This window comes from Homo sapiens, chromosome 17, assembly GCF_000001405.40.
Source record: "Homo sapiens chromosome 17, GRCh38.p14 Primary Assembly".
Classification (NCBI taxonomy): domain Eukaryota; kingdom Metazoa; phylum Chordata; class Mammalia; order Primates; family Hominidae; genus Homo; species Homo sapiens.
The window spans coordinates 17,697,470-17,723,497 of record NC_000017.11 but is presented as its reverse complement, the minus strand read 5'-3'; the positions used below and the strand labels follow the sequence as shown (position 1 = coordinate 17,723,497).

At 55.5% G+C, this 26,028-nt stretch overlaps 1 protein-coding gene and 1 long non-coding RNA gene across 5 annotated transcripts in view, besides 8 other annotated features; one reads left to right on the top strand and one right to left on the bottom strand.

Moving 5' to 3' along the window:
- The window catches only part of RAI1 (retinoic acid induced 1), a 129,996-nt gene that overhangs the window by 87,956 nt on the left and 16,012 nt on the right, over nucleotides 1-26,028 (bottom strand). The window lies entirely within an intron of this gene.
- On the top strand, nucleotides 1,146-25,948 carry LOC124903943 (uncharacterized). The gene is made up of 2 exons (XR_007065650.1): nucleotides 1,146-2,376; nucleotides 2,409-25,948. It is a non-coding gene; the product is annotated as an uncharacterized LOC124903943 (long non-coding RNA).
- Nucleotides 5,347-6,091: an enhancer, noted in NCBI's record as "H3K4me1 hESC enhancer chr17:17620721-17621465 (GRCh37/hg19 assembly coordinates)". NCBI's record gives its function as "activates a minimal SCP1, AML or CMV promoter by ChIP-STARR-seq in naive H9 embryonic stem cells {active_cell/tissue: H9 hESC(naive)}" and the evidence as "EXISTENCE:reporter gene assay evidence [ECO:0000049][PMID:30033119]".
- Nucleotides 9,265-9,534: an enhancer, noted in NCBI's record as "active region_11806". NCBI's record gives its function as "activates an Ori minimal core promoter by ATAC-STARR-seq in GM12878 lymphoblastoid cells {active_cell/tissue: GM12878}" and the evidence as "EXISTENCE:reporter gene assay evidence [ECO:0000049][PMID:35858748]".
- Nucleotides 10,815-10,904: an enhancer, noted in NCBI's record as "active region_11805". NCBI's record gives its function as "activates an Ori minimal core promoter by ATAC-STARR-seq in GM12878 lymphoblastoid cells {active_cell/tissue: GM12878}" and the evidence as "EXISTENCE:reporter gene assay evidence [ECO:0000049][PMID:35858748]".
- Nucleotides 12,309-12,603: an enhancer, noted in NCBI's record as "tiled region #10129; HepG2 Activating DNase matched - State 5:Enh, and K562 Activating non-DNase unmatched - State 14:Gen5'". NCBI's record gives its function as "activates a minimal TATA promoter and a strong SV40 promoter by Sharpr-MPRA in HepG2 cells, with weak activation in K562 cells {active_cell/tissue: HepG2 | K562}" and the evidence as "EXISTENCE:reporter gene assay evidence [ECO:0000049][PMID:27701403]".
- Nucleotides 17,029-17,323: a silencer, noted in NCBI's record as "tiled region #3199; K562 Repressive non-DNase unmatched - State 18:Pol2". NCBI's record gives its function as "represses a minimal TATA promoter and a strong SV40 promoter by Sharpr-MPRA in K562 cells {active_cell/tissue: K562}" and the evidence as "EXISTENCE:reporter gene assay evidence [ECO:0000049][PMID:27701403]".
- Nucleotides 22,742-23,253: an enhancer, noted in NCBI's record as "OCT4-NANOG-H3K27ac-H3K4me1 hESC enhancer chr17:17603559-17604070 (GRCh37/hg19 assembly coordinates)". NCBI's record gives its function as "activates a minimal SCP1, AML or CMV promoter by ChIP-STARR-seq in naive H9 embryonic stem cells {active_cell/tissue: H9 hESC(naive)}" and the evidence as "EXISTENCE:reporter gene assay evidence [ECO:0000049][PMID:30033119]".
- Nucleotides 23,733-24,250: an enhancer, noted in NCBI's record as "H3K4me1 hESC enhancer chr17:17602562-17603079 (GRCh37/hg19 assembly coordinates)". NCBI's record gives its function as "activates a minimal SCP1, AML or CMV promoter by ChIP-STARR-seq in naive H9 embryonic stem cells {active_cell/tissue: H9 hESC(naive)}" and the evidence as "EXISTENCE:reporter gene assay evidence [ECO:0000049][PMID:30033119]".
- Nucleotides 24,251-24,769: an enhancer, noted in NCBI's record as "H3K4me1 hESC enhancer chr17:17602043-17602561 (GRCh37/hg19 assembly coordinates)". NCBI's record gives its function as "activates a minimal SCP1, AML or CMV promoter by ChIP-STARR-seq in naive H9 embryonic stem cells {active_cell/tissue: H9 hESC(naive)}" and the evidence as "EXISTENCE:reporter gene assay evidence [ECO:0000049][PMID:30033119]".

The window sequence follows — 26,028 nt, the reverse complement described above, 5'->3', positions numbered from 1 at the left end:
AGAGGAGGGGAGGGAGGGAACGCTTTAATATTTTTCCAGTGACTTACGAGCCTGCGGGTGAGGTCTTGGCTGTGCGTTTAGGTCCGTGTGTGTATCAATGTGGCTGTATATTTCTGGTCTGTCCTACGAGTGAATGTCACGGGGCTTGGGGGGGGGGGTCTGGATACAAGCTAGTGAATGTGTTTCTGGGTCTCAGTTTGACTGAATGATGTGGCGCTGCGTGGGGCTGTGTCTGTGCGATTGTTTATAGGGGGGTTGTGTGACTCCGTGAGGTACTGCGTGGGTGGGATTGCGCCTGTGTGCGGTTGTGTGTATATGGGATTGTGCCTGCGTGGGGCTGAGTGTCCAGAGGGCAGTTGTGTGGCCATGTGGGCCTGTTTGCGAGTGGGCTGGTGGGTGTGTGGGGCCGTGGGGCTGCGCATGTAGGGGCAGTGCGCCTGTACGGGGCTTTGGGTTAACTTAAAGGGCTGTGGTGGGTATCTGCAGGCGGTTGCGTGTGTGGCTGGATCTGCGTGGGGTCTGAGGCCTGGCGGGTGGGGGTTAGTCCTCCTGGCGTCGGGGATCGCACCGCGGCAGAAGAGCCGCTTAAGGCGCCAACAGGCAGCGCCGGGGTCGCGGCGCAGCGCGACGTGTAGTAGCGGTGGGGCGTAGAGAGAAGGCGGAGAAGAGGGGGGCCTTCATCGCGCGCCTCCCCTAGCCGCATCAGAGACGCAGCTTGGAGATCCTGCCGCTTGCCGGCCCCGCGGTCCTAGAAGCACAGGGTTTGGGGGACCCTCCCCAGCTGGGGGAGACGCCTACTGGCCGGGAAGGCAGCGAGAACTGAGACTCGATGATTCTGGCGCAGCACAGAAGCATGCGGCAAGGACCGCCAGGAGAGGTGGGTCGCGGCCCGGAGACAGCCGAGAACTAGGCCGAGACAAAGAAGAGCGGGACCGGGGACCTTGGGGCCAAACCGCGCCTCTAGGTTTCCCGGCGGCCGAGGGGAGCGCACTCAAGGCCGGCGCGTGGAGCCTGGCGGAGGTGGCGCGGGCCCCTCTTCGCTGCAGTCCCAGCAGCCGCTCCAGAGCCCTGGGGGCACGTAATTAGGCGCCACAGGGCAGGGCCACGGTGAGGGGGGTTCTGAGTGCAGCTGGCGGGCGCCGAGCCCCGGGGCTGTGATTGAGCGCTCAGCTGGCCCGCCCCTCTCCCGGCCGCTCACCGCCCACGCATGCATTCATTCATTCATTCATCCATCCATCCGTCGCTGCATCCACCCACCTTTCTATCCATCCACGTGTCCATCCATCTACCGGAGTTACTGCACCAGGGATCACACAGATGTGTCAGCCCTGGCTCGTCCCACCACTTTCTCCCGCTGGCCAGTGAGTCTGTCTGTCTCATTCTCCTCGGCCTCCACCTCCACTTCCTCCTACTCAGGCCCCTCTGCTCTGGCAGGAGCACACCGACCACCTGTCACACTTGGGTTTTGCTGCTCAATGATGTCCCAATCTCCCTTCTCCACCTACTAACCCCCAACCCTGCCCATACTAAAGTCTCTATACATCCTACAGCCAATCCTGCCCATCATTACATGCCAGGTGGGCCTCGGGCACCTTTTTTCTGGCATTCCCTGAAGCCTGGTAGCAGCCCTCCCTACCAGAAGTGAATCCCTAAGGTCCTGGGCAGCCCCGCCCCACTCGGGGCTCCCCATATTTAAAATGTCAGACTGCTTAGTCTCTGTCTTCAATATCTGTCTTGGGGACCAGGGTCACTCAGTCCTGAGGCTGCTGAGTGAACCAGGAGATGCGCATTGTGTATACCATTAAGGTGGCAACGGAAAAGCCCAAATGCCCGCTGGGGATCACCAACCTGGCTGGAATGTCTTCCCTCCCCTCCTCAGTTTCTGAGTGATGAGGAGGAGAAAGTCCCCCAGGTGGTTGATGACAGCCCACACAATCAGGTCCCCACCAACTCCTGCCCTCAGTCCCAGCCTGTTGCCCCACTCACATTGCCCCTTGCAGTTCCTGAATTCAGCAGGCACACTCTCACCTTAGGACCTTTGCACTTGTTGATCCATCTGCCTGGAATGCTGTTCCCTACCTTCTAATATACCATGTAATTTACATATTTAGGTATCTGGTAGGTATTTTTGTCTGTTTGTTCCTTGGTGTATCTTCCGTATTTGGAATGGTTCCTGGTATACATTCCATAAGCACTTGTTCAATGAATGAGTGAGTGAATGCATGGAACAATGAAGTTAAACCAAGCCCTCCTCCCATAAGCCTGACCAAGCCCAAGTTTTCTCTTCTTTGAGCCAACAGTTCCCCTGGATAAAATGGGGGTGGGGTGGAGCATGGAGAACATCAGGGCCAGGACATGTCGGAAGACTCACCTGAGGTCGCTCAGTGAGTACCCTTCACAGATTCCAGGTCGCTCAGTGAGTACCCTTCACAGATTCCAGGTCGCTCAGTGAGTACCCTTCACAGATTCCAGATTCTGGGGATGGGTGTAGAGGGATGGGATGGTGGTGGGTGGCTTATCTCAAAAAAGGGCAGAGCCTGTCATTTGTTCCAGGGGCCTCTCTTGTTCCCTGGCTCCCTGGGGACTCCCTGGAGCTCCTGGGGCAGTGGTACGGAGGGATCTTGATTCAGCAGGGCTGCCATTCACATCTGCCAGAGGGTGATGGAAACCCTGACCTGGCCAGGGCCCTTCCACAAGTGGTATCATGGAGAGTCACAAGACAGTACCCCAAGGTCAGGATCTGACCATCCCCTAGAGGAGAAACCCAGGCTGAGAGCCTGCAAAGAACTTGCCAAGACCACAGCAACACAATCGGATCCCATCCGACTCTCAATTTCAAGATTCTTTGCTCACCTCCACCAAGCACAGTGCATGGCGTGTGGCAGTGCAGCAGAATGGAGTGGCAACCTCACAATTCAAACCTAAGTGTGCATGGACCCCAAAGCCTTGCTTACTCCATCAGACCCTACTGGCAGGATTCCATGGGATCATGGTGCCAGCAACCAGCACCCAGCACCCACAAATGTTGCTGGAACACCAGCAGAGGAGGCTGCCTGGCTGGCAGGCTTCCTGCTCCCTAGGTTCTGATTTCACCTTTCACCAAGAGTCTGCCCCAGGGGAATTAGGATCCTCCCTCCTCGCTGGGATGGTAGGGGTGCTCACAGGTTTTAAAGGGCCCAGTCCTTCCTGGTGAGGTGAGGCTGTGTTCTGGAGAACCTAGGTCTGGACATGTCAGCCCTTTTGTTTGCCAAGCACTATCTCAATAGCTGCTTTCATGCAAGTGTGTGTCCAGATGCCATTCCAGAGCTAAATAGTAAACAGGAGCTGTTGACCAGAGAGGCAGGGTGGGTAGAGGGCTGGGGACTCTAAGCAGGGTCCTAGGGAATGCAGGCAGTGGAGCCAGCCAAGGACAAGGCTCACTGACAGGCCACCAGGGACACCCAGGTGGAAACAAGGGACGGGGAGGCCCATCAGGCCAGGCTGGTACACTAAGACCCAGAAGTCGCATTCAAGCTCAGCCCTGGTCTGGTAAGCCTCACGCTGGAAGCCTGCAGGCCTGAGGTCAGATGTGGGCCAGGTTTTAACATCTATTCCACATGTTTATTGAGTAGTGGGGCAGCAACTTCAAATCTCTATGTATCTCCCCCCGCCCCATCAGTCAGCCTCATTTGAGAGACTGGATCACTGAGGTCCAGGAAATGCACTTGCTCCCAGTCACGTAACTTGAAGGTGGCAAAAGTATGCATCCATTGGCTTGGTACATATTTACTGAGCACCTACTAGATGCCAGGCTCCATTCTATGTGTTGAGGATTCAGAGCAAGGAATGAGACAAAGCTTTCATTCTAGTCTTGACAGACAAGAAACAGAATGAATAAGTAAATGATGTAGTATGTTACCTTAGGTGAAGCGTGCTATGGAAAAATAAATAAAGCCAAGGAAGCGGGCTGGGAGCATCTGCAGGGGCTGTTTTTCTACACTGAGTGGTCAGAGCTCATACTTAAGAGCATTTGAGAACACACTTGACAGACAAAGGTAGTGAGGCATGCAGCTGTCTGGGGGCAAAGCTGTGCAGGCAGAAGGAAGAACAAGTGCAAAGACCCTGAGGCAGCAGCCAGGCTGGGATTTTTGAGGAATGGCCAAGAGGTTAGTGTGGCTTGAGGGGAGTGAGCAGAAAGAGATGTGGGCAGAGAGGACGGGGGGCCACACCTACAGGGGCTTGCACACACACCATTGTAGGGACTTTGGCTCTTAGACTGAACGAGATGAGGCATTTCTGCAGTGTTTTGAGCAGGGATGGGACACGCTTTCCCTTGGGTGGTCAGAGTTTCTCCCTGTGAAGAGGGCAGATGTGGGGCCAGGGCAGGAGCACAGAAGCCTGCATCCTACACTAGTCCAGGTGGGCAATGATGAGGCCTGGCCAGGGTGGGGCCGATGAGAAGGGGTCGGATTTTGGATTTATTATGAAGGCAGGGTTAGCAGGATTCACTGATGTATCTTGCCTGAGCAACTTGCAAGAAGGATGGATACGGCTGCTGGGATCTGCCATTCATGCTAGTGGGGCTGGTGGGAGAGCAAATGCCTCAGGAAGGAACCCTGCCCCTCCTCAGCCTCCACTGTACCTGCTCCAACACATTAATGCCCTTCATGCCAATGTGGTAGCTTAGAAAACTGCTGAAGAGGCCCCATTTTTAATGACTGTACCAGGAGCTGTGCCCTGTCTGAGTCAGCAGGGGGTCATCTACCCCAGTCACCTTCCCAGTTTCCCAGCCTTAATATCCCCTTTTTATGAGCATGTTGATCCAGGTCTGCAGCTGCCAGCCCTCCTGCCCCCATGGATCCGGTTTTGTCTCCCAGACCAACTGCCCACACATATCTCCTTTGGTATACGTTTATGGAACCCACCATGTTCCAGGCGTTGTTCAGGGCACTGTGGGACAGCAGGGAACAGAACAGGCATCCCTGCCCACATGGGGCTGGCATGGTCCTTCAACAACTACAGCCCTGTTCCCTTTTCTCCCCATCAAAACCCTCTAACGCCAAGCACTTCCTGAGCAAGCTGGGGCTACCATGTGAAACTGAGAGCAAAACACTCGAGAAAATGCTTTTCTTTGAAAGCAAAGAGCTTGATATTTTAGCTGATGGGGGTGGAGAGCATCGGGAGTACAGAGATCCAAGTTCTCTTACATTTTTGGAACATTTTCAAATGTTCCAAACATTTGAATGTCCCCTCAGTGTCCCAACTCCCCTGATTCCAGGATGGAGGCTAATCTGGCCCACCCACCCCGACCCATGCAGGTTCTGGCTGGAGTGACGGCAGAAGGCTTGCCTTGGTGGCCACCTCCCGACCAGGGGAAGCAGGGGGAGAGGGGAGAGGGAGTACATCTCAGTCTCTGCCCTGGGCTGGGGTCTGCACAGGAATGCTGGTGCTGGGCCAAGACCGAGGCGTCTTCTGCCTGCTTTTGATCTGAACGACCTTTGATCTTTTCTGTCTGTAGTTTTCCCTGTCATCTGTGTGTCTGTCCATCCTTCCCTACTTGACTGCAGGAGGCCATCCCATGAGGTCAGTGCAGCTTCAGGCTCAAACAGGGCAGAATCCGAGTCTAAGCCCCCCTTGACCCCTGCTGTGGACCCTTCACTGGACATGGGCTCCAGGAAGACGGCCCCCGCCTGCAGGCGTGTGACTGGGCCTCCATGCAGCCTCCTTCTCCTGGGGCATCCAGACTATGGGTATTCATCTTCCTTCCTCAGCGCCAGCGTCTGAGTGAAGTCAAATCTGCTGAACTTAAAAGAGGCAAGGCCCTGGGGTTCAGAGGGCCCAGGTGGGGGGCAGGAGGCTGGCTGGGGGAAAGAGAGGACAGGGCAGCTGCAAAGGAAGACAGATTGGGGAGTGGGGAGGATGACAGCAGATAAAGGAGAGGGGAAAGAAGGGTAGGAGAAGAGAGAAGGAGGGTTATAGAGCCACAGGGTTAGGCACCAGAGGGTGCCTGAGGAAATGCACTGAGAGGCAGGCAGGGGTCTTCTCTCAGTCTCACTTGGGAAGCACTGCCCTGCTCACCCTGGCACGGTCCTGGGCACCCTTGGTTCCTGGCTACAATGAAGCCACACACTCTGGACACGTTGGGCTGGCTGGGGTTCTCTGCCATGGCCATGGGAACAGCTGGGCCCAGGCCTGCTTGGTAGCAGGACTCACAGGCGCTTTCTTCTCTCTGCCCCTTGTTCCCAGGGCTCAAACTTACCCCTGGGCCAGGAAGCCACCAAGGGGCTGGGGACAGTGGTGTGGCTGAGGCCTAACCTGTCTTCTGTGCCATACAGACTGATCTGCAACTGCAGCCACAGACTGACCCTTAGCCATGGCAGCAGCCACATTCTGACTCTTGACCCTGGTCCCTGTGATCCCTCCCCAATCCCAGCAACAGACTGACTCCCAGCCTCTTCCACAAATGGACTTCTGACCTCAGGCACAGGCCCCAGCCACAGACATCTAGCCACTGCTATAGACGGACCTCTTAGCCTGCTACAGCCTAAGCCTCAGCCCCAACGCTGGTGGGGTCCCCCAGTGGTGGGCATCCCGTGGGCACATTCCACCAGGCCACCCAGGGACATCGGGATGGGCCTGCTCCATGCCATCCCACCCTGAGGTTAAGTGGCAACATCAGCCCCACCAGTGCCCCACGCTAAGCCCACGGGGCCGTGGTGACCACAACAGAGTCCAGCAGCACCACACAGGAGGCCCCTCCATCCTGCCCTGGGCCAGCATATGTGGGCCAGACACATGTGGGCCAGACACACACGTAGACACACCCAACACAAAACACACCCAGAGTCAGACAGAATCACACAGTTACCTCATACGCAGCCCCCAGACCCTCCATACAATGTGCACTCAGACACACAGGCACCACACACATGAAAAGACACAAAACCACATACACATGCACACAGACACGTGTACACACACACGTACAGAACCCTGTCCCCCCCTCAGGCTGGGCACACACATCCAGAAACATGGGCATATACATCTGTGTGTACACACACTCATGCAATCATATAGACATACACACACAGCTACATGCAGAGATGTATACACATATACACATGTATACATATAAATGACACATGCACATGCAAGAACACGGAGATTTCTCTATGTAGAAGTCCACACACACCCAAGTGTCAGTCACCTGCCTTCACACATCTTTTGTTCCCTGGCCCCAGGGCTCATGGGTATCTCTGGGTGGCTTAACCACCCCACAAGTGACCCCTCCAGCCACTTCCCAACTCAGCTCAGAGCTCCATGGGCTTCTGCCCTCCCTGGACTTGATGGCAGCAGGGATGCTCCTTCCAGGCCTTCTCCTGGCCGCAGCTGGGTGAAGACCTCTCAAGTCCCCTGACTTTGTCCCGACTGGTGGCTACAGCTCCTGCCTGGACTCAAGCTGGCTATGACATGCCCTTAAGTCTTTGGCATGACTTGGACAATTCCCTCTCTGCTAAGGGAAACCCATTCCCCCCGCCATAGTTTGTCATCTGCAAAATGGGTAACAGTGTGTTGCACAGCCTTCCAGCACTCCTCCACTCCTGACATAGGAGGGCACGGAACGGACAACAGGAGGAGGATGTGGAACAGAATATGTACGATTCCCAGGGGCAACTTGGCCCTCTCACAGCCTCCAAGTTCACACCCGCAAAGGGGCGAGGATCGGATCGGGCACAGCCTCTCTGGGGCCAGAATGAGTCCAGGGGAAACTTTGAATGGAAAGCCCTTTCCGGGGGGCATCTGAATCTGTGGAGATCACTCCTGGAAGGATGGAGAAGAAACTGCTGGAAGGTCAGGAGCGGGAGGGACACTTGCTGCTGTGCTATCTGAATTTCTACCATGTGAATGGAAGGGGCCGGGGGAGGCAGAGGCAGAGGAAAGACGCCAATGACCACACCACTCCTCGCACTTCTCCTCCCGGTCTGGTGTCATCCCAGAATGCCCTGGTGGAACCCAGGTGGCTGCACCATGGGAGGGGGTGGCATGCAGAGCTGGAGCTAACTCTGCCAAGCACCCCACATGGAATCCTCTCAGCCATCCTCTGAGGTGAGTGTCCTTAGCCCATTTGAGAGATGCAGACACTGAGGCTCTGCAAGCAGAAGAGAGAGGCATGGGCCTGGGTGGAGCCCAAACCACTGCCCGGTCTCACAGCTTGTCATGGGGCTGCTTATTTACCTTCCACACCAGTGCCCAGCTCAGAGCAGCCCAGCACAGGGACAGTGCAGAGGAAACAGGCAGAGCCCCTGGCTTCAGATGTCCCCTGGCTCTCCAGGAGAGGATTGGGAAAAATGATGGCTCTTGGCCTCCCACATACCTTAAGCCAGGAAAGCCATCCCCTGCTCACCCCCAGTGCAATTCCTGGCTTGGGCCTGTCCTGGCTGTGTGCCCCTGGGCAGTTCTACACCCTCTCTGAACCCGTTTCCAGAGCTGAGATGAAGGACTGCATTTCTGCTCCTGCTTACCTAACAGAGGGTGATGTGGGTGGGATGGGAAGCAGCATTCTAAACTGGGAAGTCCATGAGGTGGAAGGCGACATTACTACCTCTCTCCCCAAGCTGAGCAAGAAAGCTCCTAGGCCGAGACAAGGAGAATCCTCCCAAAGTCAGCACCTGCAACGAGGCAGCTTGGAGAGCAGACCTGCGGACCAGACCCTTCACCCACCACGACAAGTGGATGGCCCGAGCTCAGCCCACAACCAGGATTTCCTTCCAGTCCTGCTTCTGTGCCCTTCTGCAGGGGAGAGGCTGCCTGCTGCTCAGCTTCCTTATTCGACCCACAGCACTCCCACAATGTGTGCCAGGAGGCTCGCACCCAGCTGCTTCCCGTTACGTTTCTGAGCCTCAGGTTTTTCACCTTTAAAATGGGGAAGAACAGCAGGGCCCGGGATTTGCTGGTGATAAATAGAAATGAGTGCATAAACGTCACTCAGAGTTGGCCACGCCACAAGCCCTCCGTAAATGTTAGCACTGATGATTATCATTCCCTCCTGGCCTATGGAGAGGTTTGAGTTTTCAATCTCCAGGATTAGTATCAAATTCCAATTTCACAGCGATGGCCTAGACACTGAATGTGGAAATCCTACTTGGTTATGCCACCAGGGCACAGGCCCACCCACGCTTTGTCCCGAGAGCTGAATGACCACCGACACAGGCTCTGGGCTGCTGGTCCTCCAGTCTCTTCAGAACCTCCCAGTGGCCAAGGTAGGCAGGGAGAGGCCTGGGAGCCCCCTTCTGCAGACCCAGAAACTGGGGTTCAGAGAGGGAGCTGAGGAAGCAACAGGAAGACAGATTTCACCTCCATATAAGGAAGAGCTTGCTAGCAGGCAGGGCTGCCCAGAAATGGAAGGAGGGAGCTGCTCGGGAGGTGGTGAGCAACCTGCGGCTGAAGGCATGCAAGCAGAACAGGGCAGCCTCTGGGTGGAGGCATCGTGGGCGGCTGGGACACTCTCCAGGGGAGGGCCGCTGGGATCTCTGGTCCTGTGACTTGACCAAGGCCATGTGAGCAGGAATGGAATTCCAGAAGGTCAGAGACGCGGACCAGAGCAAGCTCCTGCTCCCAACCTCCCAAGTGAAAGCCATGCAGCTGAATGGATCCACAAGAGCTGGAGAGAGAGGCTGAGCCCCTCCAAGTGGATCCCCCATCTCTGGCCCTAGTCACAAAGTCTTTATGATTTTAGAGAGAAATGCCTACTTTTAAGTTTTAAAAATTGAAAAGTACACAGAAAACAAACAAAATCCAGAATCCCCTTCACCCTATGACAATTACTGTGAATATTTCCTTACAATCTTTTTAAAATTTTATTATTTATTTATTTTTTGAGATGGAGTTTTGCTCTCGTTGCCCAGGCTGCAGTACAGTAGCAAGATCTTGGCTCACTGCAACCTCCACCTCCTGGGTTCAAGCGATTCTCCTGCCTCAGCCTCTTGAGTAGCTGGGACTACAGGCGTGTATCACCACGCCCAGCTAAATTTTTGTATTTTCAGTAGAGATGGGGTTTTACCATGTTGGCCAGGCTGGTCTCGAACCCCTGACCTCAGGTGATCCGTGCACCTCGGCCTCCCAAAGTACTGGGATTACAGGCATGAGCCACTGCAGCTGGCCTATTATTATTATTTAGAGACAGGATCTCACTATATCACCCAGGCTCTAGTCTTGAACTCCTGGGCTTAGGTGATTCACCTGCCTTGGCCTCCCAAGCAGTGGGGACCACAGGCACCATCACGCCCAGCTCCTTGCAATGTTTTCTATGTGCATCCAATTTTGGTTAGAAATCTGGACATGCCTTAAAAAAAATTTTTTTTTTGAGGTATAATTCACTCACTATAAAATTCACCCTTTTAAAGGGGACAACTCAGGGTTTTGGTATATTCATGAAGTTGTGCAACTATCACTGCTACCTAATTTCAGAACATTTTCATCCCCCTCCCAAAAAGAAACCTGTTCCCATAGGCAGTCACCCCCCATTTCCCCACCCCCAGCCCCTGGCAATTGCTCACCTCCTGTCTGTCTCTCTGGATTCGCCTGTCCTGGGCATTTCGTATGAATGGAATCATATGATCTGCAGCCTTTTGCATCTGGGCTGGTGTGTTTTTAATGTACAATTTTCTAATCCTATTTTCACATAGCATTATACACAGTCACCATTTCCATGTTACTACCAAGTCCTTAGAATCAGTATCGTGTTTACTGTTTACACCATGGAGAGGCTTGACCACAGTTTCCTCAGGTCACCCTCTGGTGACTACCCCCTTCCTGTTCAGGCCGCATCATCACTCAGCCAGACAAGTGCAATAGCCCCTTCTGGGCCTCCTAGGCCCATCCTTGCCCCACTCAGCCATTACAACACCCAGACAGAGCCTGTTAAACCAAGTCTGATCCTGACCCTCCCTCCCTAGGAATCCTCCATGGCTCCCACCTCACATAAGACTTAAAACCAAGCTTATACCACAGCCCACAGTCTCCTATGCCATTTGACCTATGCTACCTTCTGACCTCACCTCCTCCCACTTCCCCACCCACTCCCGCTGCAGCCACACAGGCCTCTAACACACCTAGCATAGCCCCACCTCAGGGCCTTTGCACTAGCTGCCCCTTCCACCCAAATGTGGGCTTGGCCTTGCAGCCGCTCTCTGTTCTGGAGCCCTGCTTCCATTTGCTTCCTAACACATATCACCTGATATATGTTTATTCACTGTCTTCTCCCACTAAAATGGCAGCTCCGTCACATGTTGTTTTATTCGCTGATAGAGCCCCGGCACCTAGCACAGAGTTGCAGCTCAGTGACTATTTGGGCTGTTTCCAATAAAATAAGGAATGTAAAAGAACCAAATGCAAAAACCCAAGCGCCCCACAGCGCAGACATTAGAAACTGGTGGTCCTCTGCCTGCGGACATGTGTGGTTTAAACCACACTGTGCCTTTTGTTAACGGAGCCAGCATTTGAGAATCAGGAGAGTTCACATAAAAATCCAAATTCCAGCTTCTCTTGAAAACACATATCTGGTCATCAGGGCCGGACACCGCGTGACAGCCATCAGCAGGCACTAAAGGGCTGGGCCTGGGGACATTCCCACCCACAGGTCCCGGGAGTTGAATGCTTTGTCCCTCCTCGGAGGCCCCAGATGTGGTGCGCAGGAGGAGGGCTTGCCCTGGGACAGAGCCCGGGCCTCACCTCATGCTGCTGCCTGATATCTGGGCCCTAATGCCCCAAGCTACCAATAAGGTCCCACCCACCTTTATTCAAAGACTGGGACCTTCCCAGGGTCCCTACACTTTCTGGGAGCCCTTACAGCCACTGTTCCTTTACGTGAAACTTCATCCTAGGTCCTCTAAGGTTTGCCTCACCTTGTACCAAGACCTGTTGAGGCCTCCAGCACATTTGGAACATACACAGGAGGTGTCCATCCCGTGTACACCTCCCACTTCCCTCCAGCTCCATCCCAGCCTCCCCAGCCCCTGGCAGTGTCCAGCATGCCGTAGGCCCTTGGCTGCCTCTGAAAGGACTGAATGGCAAGCACCCGCCCCCCAACTCCGGGGAGCTGGGAGGACCTGGGGGACAGGGCACACACAGGAGGGTCTGACTTGGGTCACACTCAGTGCCAAAATGCATGTGTTTGTCAGCTACAGTGCACCAGATGCCTCGGGGACACAAAGATGGAAATCATGGGGGACGGGTGCTCCAGGGGTGCTGCGGCAGCCAGGGCCTGTGTGTTTCTGTCGAGGAGGGACAACCCCCAGCCAGGACGTGACCAGAGTTCTTCCAGGGCCTCAGTCGCCCCACCTGCATGCAGGGCTCCCCTATCACCAGCCTCTCAGGCCCCAAGGCTCAGCCCCGCCTCCCTACCCTGGAGAGGTTTTCCGGGTACTGCGGCCCTGCCTTCCCATCCATCAGGATTTTGCTGCATTCCTGTGAGTCATTCTCCAAACAAACCGTGTGAGGGAGAGAAGGGAGCAGGGGAGGGGGAGGAGGCTGGGAAACAAATCAGCCTTACCTCCTCCCTCCCACCTGCCCCCCATCAACACCCCCGCACAGACACATGGGGGCCCTCAGGAGAGCTCTGGAGTACGAGGCTGGCTAGCTTATGCCATGAACTTGCTGTGTGACCTTGGGCAAGAAGACGGCCCTCTCTGGGCCTCTGGAAAAAATGGCCCCAAAGGTCCCCACCTACAGAATGCACAGGCTTCCCAGAGGGCTCTGTCTCAAATGAGGCAGGGCCTTGTGGGAGGGGTGCCCTGGCTGTCTCCACTTTTTTACCTCAGTTTCTCCACCTCTGAAATGAGGAGGGGGCCAGTCCTTGGGTAGCCACAAGGGGCACATCTGCCAGGTGGGGCTGGGTGAGGCCAAGCCACCAGTGCCAGGGCCAGCAGGGCCTCCCCAGGGAGTCCTAGTCTTGGTGGCCACTGTGCTGCCATTTCCCCAGCAACAGCCGAAAGGCCACCACTGGCAGCCTCTGACTCACAGGCCCCCAGGGCCAGGAGGGTCTCTGGGCAGCCCCCTGTACTCTGGGGTGGGGGATGGAGCACTGCTAAAAAGGAGCAAAAACCCCTCCTCATGGCCGCAGCTGCAACTGTGGCCGTATATCCACGTAGGGATGGATGTTGGAGGGTGGGATGGGTACCCCGGGGTCTCCATGGGGCTCAGCTCCCACAAGGGGTCCTGGGTAGGTGAGGGGCGTGTGCTTGGCATGCAGGCAGCCCTTCTCCTTGAAATGCTCTTTTTTTGTGGCTAAAGCCCCCGCTGGGTTCTGATTCTCTGTGAAAAGCAGGCTTCTCAGTCACCTCCGCTGCTGCCACCCTGGTGCCAAGTGTATGTGTGAAAGTGCACGTGACCAGGTGCGTGTCTGTGTGTGCTCGAGGTCTTCAGAATCCTGACATGAGCGTGGCCGGGGCTAGGCGAGTGGTGCAGAGTGTGTGTGTGAGGGTGTGAGAAGAGTGTGGGTGTCCAAGGGTTGACCACCCATGGTGGGCAGGTGAGCATGTCCGTGTACTGTGAATGAGCGTGAGGTGCGCCGCCACAGGGCTAGCATCTAGGAATGTGCGCACGCCTGTCTGCTGTGCAGGTTTCCTCCTGAAGCACCAGCTCTTGGAACTGCCTCCTCCTGGGTGCTCATTCTATCTGGCTCCATGAAAAACAGGTTTCCAAGATTCTGGAAGCTGCACCCCAGGCCCGCACGGAGCTGATCTGGGGGCCCCTTAAGGTTCAGAGGAAAGCTCCAGGCCCCGGCACAGACAGTGGCCCTGCTACATCACTTTGGACCTAGTGCTGGGGTTCCCCCTCCCCGAGGCCCAGCAGCTCCTTGGCCCAGAGAAGGGAGCTCAGGACCAGAATGAGGCCAGGGGCCTGGGGGCAGACCCAGGGAAGGGAAGGAAAGAGACCTAGTGGGCAGCTGCCCAGGCTGGAACTGCAAATGCCCCACTGTGACATGTATTTTGGGGCAGCTGTGGAGAGGGTCAGCTTCCAGCCAGGACTGACTGTGGTCAACCCAGCAGGGAGGCCGAGGCAGGCAGGGGCCTTGGGAGCCTGGAGGGGTGGAGAAGAGAGTCGGGGTAGGAGTATTTGGGGGCCAGCAAAGGGCTTTTCTGAGTAGAGGTGAGACCAAAGAAGAGAGACTGAGAGGAGCCCGCCTGAGTATCGCCCCTTGATACGGCAAACAGCAGACAGCAAACAGCAAAGCCGCATGGCCAGAGCCCAGCCAGCTCCAGCTCTGCTCTCCCTAGGTACTCTCAGCCTCACAGCCTCCTCCTGTGGACACAGATGCTACGCCCTCCTTGGGGTCTCTCAGCACAGTGCCCGGCACACTAGGCCCTCCATCAGTCATCATTGTCATAATGATGGTCCCCGGGTGGCTGCTGGAGCATATGGGAAAAATCCCAGGCCGGGAGCCTGGAATGGGCTCCTCTCCTTCCCTTCCACTCTCTGGGCCTCAGTCTTCCCATCTGTAAAGCGGCATGTCCTGGCCCACTCTGCAACTGAGGATAGGAAAGGCCCGTGGTGGACTGACGAACTGTTCCCTTTGTGCCTGGAGCAGGGGTGGCAGGAGCACGGGACACAGGGTTCAACTCCAAACCCTGGCAGCTGTGAAGCTGGAATGTTTTGGTTGTTTCCGGATGAACTGCAGCATTTGAGCACAAAAGGAGGATGGGTCAGTTATGGTGTCCACTTATGGTGCCCAGCCTGTGACTGGGACCACAGTCTTCTAACTTCTGGACCATTGCTCTGTCCCCCTCACCTTGTCCAGAGGCCCTCAGTCGCTAGAAAGAGAGTGAGCTGCCAGGAGTCACAGGAGGTGTACAAGGAGGGATGTGAAAAAGTAACCCACTCACTCACTGAGTCAAGATGCAACCCAGGGGACCCCTAAGATTCCATGATTCTAGAATGGAGTCCCTAGCCAGGCACTCTAGCACACACCTGTAGTTCCAGCTACTCAGGAAGCTAAGGTAGGAGGATTGCTTGAGCCTAGGACTTTGAATCCAGATTGGGCAACATAGTGAGACTCTGTCTCTAAGGGAAAAAAATGTACATATATATATATGTGTGTGTGTGTGTGTATATATATATATGAGAAGAGAGGACAGGAAGGTGCAAAAGCCAATTCCTTGCTCATTCAATCTAGGCTGATTAGCACAAGTATTGTTGGAGAAAAAAGGGCTTGCTAAGCAACCAGCTTCTCAGAGTTCATCAAGGGGGTCTCCTCCTGGGGAGGGGGCCTGCCTCCCCTCCTGCTGCCACCTCAGGGTCAATATACACTTGGAGAGGACCCAGAAAAATGGCACAGGCTGAAGCACCATCAGAGGGTGGCAGCAGGAGGAAGGAGGAGGAGCAAGGCAGAGGCAGAGACCTGAGAGGCCTGGGGTGCCCATTAACCCATTCCTTGGAGATGGTGGGTGGGGTCAGCTTGGTCGATGTGGCTGCAGCTTCTGAGGTCTGCCAGAGCCTCCAGGAGCCTTCTACTCCCCTTCAAGCTCTGTCTGGCCCCCTCAACTCCTGAGGGAGCCTGTGAGATAGTAAGTCAGCTTGGAGCCTGCCTCTTGCAGTCTCCAGCTCACTCAGAATGAAAGCTAGAGTCTGGCCTGCACGGTGGCTCACACCTATGATCCCAGCACTTTGGGAAGCTGAGGCAGGTGGATTGCCTGAGCTTAGGAGTTTGAGACCAGCCTGGGCAACATGGCAAAAACCCGTCTCTACCAAAAATACAAAAAATTAGTAGGGCATGGTGGCACGCATCTGTGGTCCCAGCTACTCAGGAGGCTGAGGTGGGAGGACCACTAGAGCCTGGGAGGTGGAGGTTGCAGTGAGCTGAGATCATGCCACTGCACTCCAACCTGGGTGACAGAGTGAGACCCTGTCTCAAATAAACAAACAGTCTTCCAGGAACCCTCTCCCCTCTCTCAGTCCCCTCCAGCCACAGTGGCTCCCCTGCTGTTCTTGCAACATGGAAACACGTTCCTGCCTCAGGACCTTTGCACTGCTATTCCCTCTGCCTGCAATGCCCTTCCCTTTGACATTGCAAGGTTCACTGACCTCCCTCGAGTCTTTGCTCACCTGTCACCTTCTCAGGGAGGCCTTTCCTGGCACTCCAATTTAAAACTGCACGCATCTCCCCCATCCCTGAGCCCCTTCCCCACCTACTTTTTTTTCTCACTACATCTATCTTCTTTTTAAAAGTATTTAGTTATTTTCAGAGACAAGGTCTTGCTATGTTACCCAGGCTGGATTCAAACTCCGGGGCTCAAGCGATCTTCCCACCTCAGCCTCCTGAGTAGCTGAGAATACAGGTACACACCACCATGCCCAGCTAATTTATGTATTTTTTGTAGAGGCGGGGTTCTGCTATGTAGCCCAGGCTGGCCTCGAACTCCTGAACTCAAGCGATCTGCCTGCCTCAGCCTCCTGAGTAGCTTAGGACTAAGGAGCATGCCCCAGATTGCTCGTCATTAGCTGCCTGTCTCCCACTAAGACAGGAAGGAGCTCACCAGGGCAGAGATCGCTGTCTGTCTGCTCACCCATGGGCACCTAGGGCAGAGCCCAGCTCACAGTAGGATCTCAATAACTGTGTTTCAAATGCATGGATTAAAACATTCCTGTTACACAAGACCAGCATTCCAATGGTGGAATCTTTAAAAACTTTTCCCCTGTGGGAGTTTCAATTCTTTTTTTCCCCTGAGCCCACACAGAGAAGAAATGTGTGCTTCCCGGCTCCCAGGGCAGGCCCCACCCTCAAACCAATGGTTTGTCTATGGGCAGGAGGGGTGATTCTCACTTCAATGTCCTGTCCATTCACCACCCTACATCCTGGACATCTCCCCTGGATGCCGCTCGGGTGCCCCAACTCTACTCTGATCCCTCAAACTTTCCCCGTCACTGCACAGGGCCACCCCCATCCAGTCCCCGGCTCCCTCTGGCTGCTGGTGCAGCTCACAACCACTGGCCATCCAGCCCTGGGCTTTCCCTGGCCCTGCTCTTCCTCTTCAGACCCATGCCAGCCCTTGTCCACCTGGATCCTTGGCCCAGCTGCCTACCTGGTCTTCCTCCCTTCAGCAGCTGGCCTCTTGTTTCACCTATGCATGCCCTCTCATCATTCAGTGCAGAGCACTGCACACCCCATGACCCAGGGACCAAAGTCCCCCTCCAGCTTGGCCACTACACGGTCCCATCCCTGCTGGCCGGACCCAACTGCCTAGTGCTTCCTGTTACCTGTAGGCCTTTCTCCAGCAGACCCACTCCCCCAAGTGCCATTCCTTCCCTCGCCCCAGCTCTGCAAATCTGACGCCCCACCCCAAGCATCCCATAGGGCTGCTGACCTCTGGGCAAGCACCGTGGCTCTGCAGAATGATCCATAGCTCCCTGCTGGCCTGTGCGCTACCTCAGGGCCTATGAAACAGGTGGTCAAGTGGCGTTTGGTTTTTGTTGCCTTTTTTTTTTTTTTTTTTTTTTTTTGAGACAGAGTCTCGCTCTGTTGCCAGGCTGGAGTGCAGTGGTGCGATCTCAACTCACTGCAACTTCTGCCTCCCGGATTCAGGAGATTCTCCTGCCTCAGCCTCCCGAGTAGCTGGGACTACAGGCACGCGCCACCATGCCCAGCTAATTTTTGTATTTTTAGTAGAGAGGGGGTTTCACCATGTTGGCCAGGATGGTCTCCATCTCTTGACCTCGTGATCTGCCCACCTCGGCCTCTCAAAGTGCTGGGATTACAGGCGTGAGCCACCGTGCCCAGCCTTTTTGTTTGTTTTTTGAGAGAGGGAGTCTTGCACTGTCGCCCAGGCCAGAGTAGAGTGGTGCGATCTCAGCTCACTGCAACCTCTGCCCGCTGGGTATAAGCGATTCTCCTGCCTCAGCCTTGCAAGTAGCTGGGACTGCAAGTGTGTGCTACCACACCTGGCTCGTTTTTGTTTTTGTTTTTGTTTTTGTTTTTTGAGACGGAGTTTCGTTCTTGTTGCCCAGGCTGGAGTGCAATGGCACGATCTCAGCTCACCGAATTTTTGTATTTTTTAGTAGAGATGGGGTTTCACTATATGATGGCCAGGCTGGTCTCAAACTCCTGACCTCAGGTGATCTGCCTGCCTTGGGCTCCCAGAGTGCTCGGATTACAGGCGTGACCCACTGCACCCAGCCAAGAAATGTTTTTGAAGGAATAAATGATGTAAAGAAATTGGTGATAAAGCAAACAAATGAGTGAGAAAATGAGTCAAACAATTATAGAAACAGATTGGTAATAAAGTTCTATTTTTTGACGGGTCTCCTCCATGGCTGTTGTTCTCCTGGATGGACCCCTGGCCGGGGGACAGGCTTGAGTGATGATGATGATGATGATGAAGAATCAGTCAGGATGTGCTAGCCATGTTGCTGTAACAAAACTCTCAAATCTCAAGGGCTCACAACAACAAAAGTTGGTTTATCCTTCACACTACCATCCACTGGGGTAGCAGGGAGGCTCCCTCTCACTGAGCAGTTGCCACCTTGACTTTGGTCTACCAGAGGAAAGTGAGTTCTGTGGATCCTCATGGCCATGAAAGGCTCTGGCCTAGAAGGGACATGTCACTTCTGCTCACACCTCACGGGCCATAACTGGTCACATGACCCTCCCCCGGCCCCCCCACCCAAAAACCACCAGGAAGCACAATTTCCCCACGGGCTTGGGAGGGTGGGGAACTGGAAACTTTGGCCAACATCTCTAAGGACATCTCAAACACCACCACCAATAACAACACAAGCAGCAGAGGCCACGTATTAGCTCCTCCCATGCCCTGGACACCAGGCGAAGGACCTGAAGTGGGAGTTTCACTTACTACTCATGGTAACGTCCTGATGTCAGGACTATGCATATCCTGCGTTCCAGATGAGAGTTAAAGGCTACACAGAAAAGGGACTCACCAAGGTCACAGAGCTCATGAGGATGGAGTTGAGATCGGAACTCCTGTCTGTGTGTGCCAGGCCTTTACACACCCCACTGCCCGGCACGGGTGCCTGGGGAGGCTGGCTGGTGGTTAAGGACTGCCCTGGGGAGACAAAGAGCCCCCCACATGGAGGGCCATTCTGACCACCCCACCACAAAGAGCCCCCTCACACTGCCATGTTGTCCACTTTCAGGCGTCCAATGCTAGAACCCCTGGAGATGATGTGGCCAGTCCCAGATTCTGCTGAGAAAGAGACAGGCCCAGAGGGAGCAGTGCTGGAGCCAAGGTCACACCTTGTGCAGGGCTGAAACGAGACTTCAAGTCTTTGTCCACCATGGTCTGAGTGTCCCCAGCTGCCTCAACAGCACTGGGTGTCCAGGGACAGCCTCTGCCTCAGGAAGGCCCCTCAGAAGCAAGGGTGAGCACACGCACTCCACTTTCCTGGCAAGCCAGGCAAGGGCACAATGGTCCACCATGGCAGAGTCCCCAGGCCCTGGCCCATCAAGCCTGCCGCCCTGACTGCTTGGGCCACCCCCCGAGGAGCCGGGCTGCCCTGGTGCACAGTGGCTCACTGCTCCCACGGTCAGTCCCCAATAGGGAGACCCGAGAAGCCTGGAGTGAGGGAAGACCATGCTCTAAGGCTCCCCAGCCAGGACCTCTGAAGACAAGGACTTGGGCCCTCTGGGAAGCCAGACGAAGGTTCTGGGCAGAGTGGAATGGAACAAAAGAAAAGGGGTTGGTGGAGTTTGAAAACAGTCCCAGCTAGGCATGAAGGCTCATGCCTGTAATCTTAGCACTTTGGGAGGCCAAGGCGGAAGGATCGTTTGAGCTCAGGAGATCGAGGCTACAGTGATTTATGATCATACCACTGCACTCCAGCCTCGGCAAACAGAGCAAGCCCCTGTTGCAACTAAAACAGAAACAAAAAGAAAACAGACCCAGCTCTGCTCTGTGACCTTAACCTCTATGAGCCTCAGTTTTCACTATGCTTGTTTTGCCCACCAATGGCCCCCTCCCCCTGAGCCCCAGAGCCGGAGCCAACACCTTTCCAGAGCCACAGGTGGGTCCCCACCCCAAAAAGGTTATGGGAGAACTCCTGCTCCCGACGCTACAAGAATGCACTGCCCTCAGAGAGTCCCTTCCAAAGGTTTTTGGCCTAGGGGCTTGATCAGAAAGCAGTCCCCACCCTGCATGGAAACCCTCACACGCTCTATTCCCCAGGTTTTGCTGATGATTCTGACTTGCAGTGCAGCCTTCCTACGTCAGCCTGGCCTCCCAGCGGGGCAGTAGGGGGCGCGGCTGTCCTCCTGACCCTGACCTGGACAGGAAGTTGGATCCTCCCTAGCCTCCTGTGAGCCCACTCCCTGCCTGGAAGCCTTGAGTCTCCAAGTCCCCTTACAGCCGCTGTCCAACTCCTGGGGGTGGAGGTGCAGGTTGGGAGGAAGAGTGATGGAGCCTCTCCACTGCTTCTGAGCCCTGCTCACTGCTTACTGCCCCAATCATCCAGTCCACAAGCATTTATTGAGCACTTACTACACGTAAAGTACAGTGCTAACCACTGTCAGAGAGATGAAGTTGAAAGGCAGGGCCCCACCTCCTCACGTCTGGCAGCAGCAGCAGATGCATTACTGATGCCGCACAGCTCCGCAGTTACAAACACAGGCTTTGAAGTCACACAGCCCTGGGTTTGAGGCTTAATTTTGCCACCTCGGAGATGAGTGACTTTGAGCTCACTCCTCACCCCGACTGGCCTCAGTGTCTGCATCTGCAAAATGAGATATTAAGAGAAGCCACCTCATGGCTGGTGATAAACTACTGGATACCAAGAGTTTCACATAGCCTGGCAGGGAGGTGCTAAACCCCTGTGAGCCTCATTCCTTGCCTTGACCAGAGCAAGGGCAGAACCCCGAGGCATGCCAGTAGGGACCTCCCTCTAGGTTTCTACCACCTCATTAATCAGTGACGACTGTCTACCCGGCTGTGATGCCACCTGACGCTCCTGGCAGCCTGCCCATTCACCTCCATTTTGTCTGCAAGGACATCTGGGGACAAGAATGGGAGAAGGGGCATGGAGTTGGGCAGCAGGCCCCACTGCTATTAGCCCTGATGGGGTCACTGCTTATCCCCCCTTCCCATATACAGTAGGCTCACAATCATCATCCGAGGCTTGGCCTGGTAGTGAGGAACCCAGCTGAAGATAATAGGCTGCATCCTGGGATGAGGTGGGTGGTACAAGCTTTTGTGCCAACTGAAGGGTCTGAATTTGGTCCTCTTGGCAATAGGGAGGCAGTGAAGGTTGCTAGGCAACAGAGGACCCTCTGCCCACCTCTCCAGCCTCATGCCTCCACACTTTGGAGTGAGCTCAGTTTTTCTGTGGTTGTCCCTTACTCCCTCTCCCCTCATGTCAGCCAGTGTTCTGCCCTAGCCAGGGCTGAACTCCAATTGTTTCCCTACCTGGAATGCTATTCCTGCCAATTAGCTCACACTTATCCTTCCTTCCAGGCTGAGCTTAGAAGCCTCTCCCAGCCTTCCCAGTTTGAGCTCAAAGACTGTTCTCTGCTTCCTTTAAATTGGTCCTTTTTCCATTAGAGGACAAGTATTCCTTTCGAGCGCTGCCTCCCCGACTGGAGTCCTTGGAGGGCAGAGCCCAAGTCTGACTCCCCTCTGTGCTCTCAGCATTGCCTGACACAGGCAGGACCAGGGCTGGGTGGCCTCCCAGTGGGCACTGTGCAATGCTTCAGGCTTTGGTCTCTGAGACGCACAAAGGGAGGAGGGATGGGACTGGAAGGGGCAGAAAGGAGGGGCAACCAGGCATGGTGGTGCACACCTTGTAGTCTCAGCTACTTGGGAGGCTGAGGTGGGAGGGTTGTTTGAGCCCACGGGTTGAGGGCTACAGTGAGCCATGATCGCACCACTGCACTCCAGCCTGGGCAACAAAGCAAGATGCGGTCTTCAAAGAAAGAAAAAAGAGGGGCTGGGTACAAGGGGACATGGAAGAGAGAGGGGAGGGAAAGGGGACCATCTAAAAACTGCATGAGCGGTCTGTCTATTCCCTCTTCCGTTTTCCTTCCCTCTGCAAAAAGAGAAGAGTGAGAGAAGGGAATGAGGGAGAGAGGAGGGGCAGGCGCCTATCCCAGGATCACTTGATGGGGTGGGGAGGAGCACAGGGAAGTCCCACAGAGAATACCATTAGGTCTCAAGGTTTCCCTGAGGTTCCCATCAGTCTCACAGCCCCCTGCCTAGGCAGAAGGCTCAGGGCAGCAGTGCAGCCCCCACAACCCCAGGGCCATCCCCAGGGAGATGGCAGGGGCATGCAGAGATAGGGCAGTCAGGCAGACTGGCCTCAGTGAAATGTCAGTCCAGAGGGAGGACACACCCAGACAACCTTCACCATGGGCTAGCCCACCCCTCAACAAAGGGCCCAGACCCATCCCCAATCCCATCCCAGGAGGACAGGGGCTCATCTTGTTGGAGGCGCAGGGGTGGGTTTCAGGGAGGATGAGCGAGGAGGGAGAGGGGTCTTTGTTGCAGGCAGAGGTACCAGCTTCTAAAGACGAGGGGAGTAAGGCCGAGATGAGGCATCTGGGGTCTCTGCGAGGTCACATTCAACCCTCAAGAGCGCCTGGCACGTAATGTGCAACCACCATTATTATTGTTCGTGCAGAGCAGGGTGGCACTGGGTCAGTGGCAGCAGCGGTCCCGAAGGGCCTTGAATGCCAAGCCCAAGATGGCCGGGGGACGGCGCGGGGGAGCACGAAGCCGGCGCGGTTGAACGCCGGGGAGCGGGCGAGCGGATCTCCGCCGAGGCAGGGCGATAAATTAATGAAACGAACGCGCCGCGCCCCGAGGACGAGAGGGGCCGGACTGCGGCCTCGGCGGACGAGGCCCGGCCTCGCGGAGGCCCCGCTGCTCTCCTCTTCTCTCCCATCCCCTCCCCTCCCCGCCGGGCGTCGTTTTCCAGGTAATTAAGGCCGTCCCGGCCGGCGCGCAGCTGCTTCCGCGGCCGGCCGCGCCTCAGGCCCGGGCAGGTGCAATTAAACCCGCGCGTTCGCAGCCATTAAGCTTTAATGGGGCTCATTAGCATAAGAACGAGAAGACGCTTTGATGGCGGCCACCCCCGCAGGGGCTGCGCGCGAACGCCGAGGGGCGGCGGGGCGCGGCCGCTGGAGCCCCGAGCCGGGAGCCGCGCCTCCAGCTCGCGGCCCGAGTCCTGCCAAGGCAGTCCCGCCTGGGGCCGGGCGACAGGAGGCGGGCCGCGGAGCTTGACCTCGTCTCAGGGGTTCCAGGCTGCGTCCGAGAGCCAGAGGTTTCACAGGGCCCAGGCCCCAAGAATAGGTCTTTGAAGGACGAGGGAGGAGGCCCAACCTAGAGAGCAGATGTGCTTTCCCAAAGAAGCAGCTGAGGAAACTGAGGCCTAGAGGTGCCATGTGACACACAGCCCCGGTCTCAGCCTGCAAGTGGTTCATTTATTCAACAACGATAGCAGCCAAGGCTTATGTGAGTTTTAAGGATTTAGCATAAATTTTCTCACTTAATCTCCCCAAGAGCCCCAGGAGTAGTGGATACTTGCTCTTGTGATCCCATTTTACACAAGAGGAATCTGAGGCTTGGAGGGGGACACCCAAGGTCCCACAAGCCACAGTGAGCTTTGAACCTCGACAGTCTGGCTCCTGAGGCTGGGCTCATAACTAGGAAGCCACACTATCATGTGTGACATGACCAGGAGAGGCACAGGGTGGGGTGGAGTGGTGGGGGATGGGACCGTGACCAGCTGGTGGGCTGGGTGGGCCATCCTACCCGGCAGACAGTAGCCATCTCCACCAACTGTGGCCGGGGGAAGCAGGGTAGAATAATCCAGAAGAAATGTAAACTGGAAATTGGAAATGAAGTCACTCAACGATTACTCACTGGCAATTCATTTGATTCCCCCCCCCCCGGCCCCCCGACAATGGATGGGCTTTCAAAACAGGTCTGTGGTCAGGACGTGGCAGGAGGACCACCACTTTGCCATCTCAGTCCAACATGGAGTGCAGTGTGCCCAGCAATTACTAGGTGTTCAGGAAACACTAGTCAAGCAAATGAATGAGTGAATGCATGAATAAATGCTTTTCTCTGCAATTTTGGGGCAAAATAGGGGACTAATTCTTCAATTTAATGTTTTCCAGGCTTTCTTCGATCCAGGTGGCTCTGTGAGAGCAAAAGGGCCCAGAGGAACTGGCAGGTGGGGCCTGAGGCAGCGGTGCTGTGCTTGGCTCCAGGCGTCCCCTGGGGCAGTGCCTCCAGCATTCCAAAGTCAAGGATGTTGCCGACAGATGTCTTGAGGGCCCTGGCAGGGAGCGCAAAAAGCACTGAAGAGGAGACATATACTGCCTGAGTTCCACTCAGAGGTGACGGGAGCCAGAAGGAAGCCACCAGCCTCTAGGAGCCCAGAGAAGGTGGGCAGTTGCCTGAGGCCACACAGCAAGAATCTGGGTCTCCTGATTCCTTCAATCCCGGCTGAGCCTTTACCCAGTGCCTGGATCAGCCCCCAGTCTAAGCACAGGACTCCCTGTCTCCATCAGAGAAGCTCTGCCTGGCCTCTGTCTTGGCTTGTGATCAGCCGGCATTCCCATGCATGAATGCACGACTCAGATCACTTGATTCTTTGATTAATGTCTTTCTTCCTTTGGCCACACCTCCCTCAAGGGCAGGGATTTTGTGTGTCCATCCAGATCATGGCTGATCTCAGTGCCTGGCACACAGTAGGCCTCCAAACATAGATATCGACCAGGTGGAAGTATTATTACTACAGAGTCACAGCGCCAAAGAAAACTCAGTGCCTGGGGTGAGCTTTCCTACCTCCCCAAGCTCTCATGCCCACTCACAGCTGGCTCAGGGGCTGAGAGGGGCCTCAATGCCTCCACAGCTGAGCTGGCCTGGGGGTGCAGGCAGGGGAAGGGCTCAGCTCCCCTTCCTGTCCTGACCCTGAGGCTGGCCCACCCCCTCACCTCCGGTCTGCAAAGGTATCTGCCCCAGGGGGGCCCTCAGCAGCCTCATTAGGAAAGTAGTGACAGACACATTCAATATAAAGGGGTGTGGGGGGAGGGGGAGACCGAGGGCTGTTACAGGGTTGTCTGCCGCTTTCCTGACTACTGGGCCAGGGCTGGGCCTAGATGGGGGACAGAGACAACGCCCAGAATCCAGAGTTGGGCCCCAAAGCAGGGATTTTCCCATCATTCCTTGCTGTTCTTGAGTACTGGTGGGACTCAACTCTTGAGTGGCAGGAGACAAACCCCAGCCCAATGCCCTAAGCCTGCCATGAGCCACCCAGAAGCCCGTGTGTGAGAGCAGCCACAGGGACCTGGGCGCCTGCCCTCTGCAGCAGAAGAGGAAACTGAGGTCCAGGGAGGAGGAGCAGGGTCACCCCACAGCAGCGCACTGGAGTAGGAGCCATGCTTTGCATTAGGGCTATGGCTGTGGGCCTGGACCACCTTGACCACCGAACTCCCTCTAGTCTCTGGACTGCAGGGCAGGAAGGCCCAGTTCTACTGGAAGACAGTCAGGTGTTGTCAGTGCTCACCCAGGGCCGGATGGAAAAGCAGATGCCCCAGCAACTCAGTCAGTGCGCAATGCCCCACCACTGATGAAAAGTGGGTGAGAGAGATCCAGGTCTCACACCACAGGACATGCACACAAACAGCTACTCGGCCACACACAGAGGTGCCCCCAACACACAAAGAACGTGTGACCTGCTGTGGATACTGCCTGGTGTGTAAGCACCCATACCCTCAGCTCATTTCCCCAAATCAGACACACACACAACCACACGTTGGTCCCAGTGACAAACAGACACACAAGCCACCTAACAGCAACCCCCTGCCATGTACACAAACCCCAACTCACTTTTTACACACACACAATCCCCAAGCTCAGGAACACACGCAAACCCATCTTGTCATTTGGTTAAATTCCACACCCAGGTAACACCCAGACCACAAGAGCAAATCCAGATAAATAAATCATGTTCAGCACATCAATCTCGGCCCCAGCCTGGCTGCCTCCTGGATACAGGTAAAGTGAAACAGGTCTTAAATATTTTACAACTGAATAAACCTGT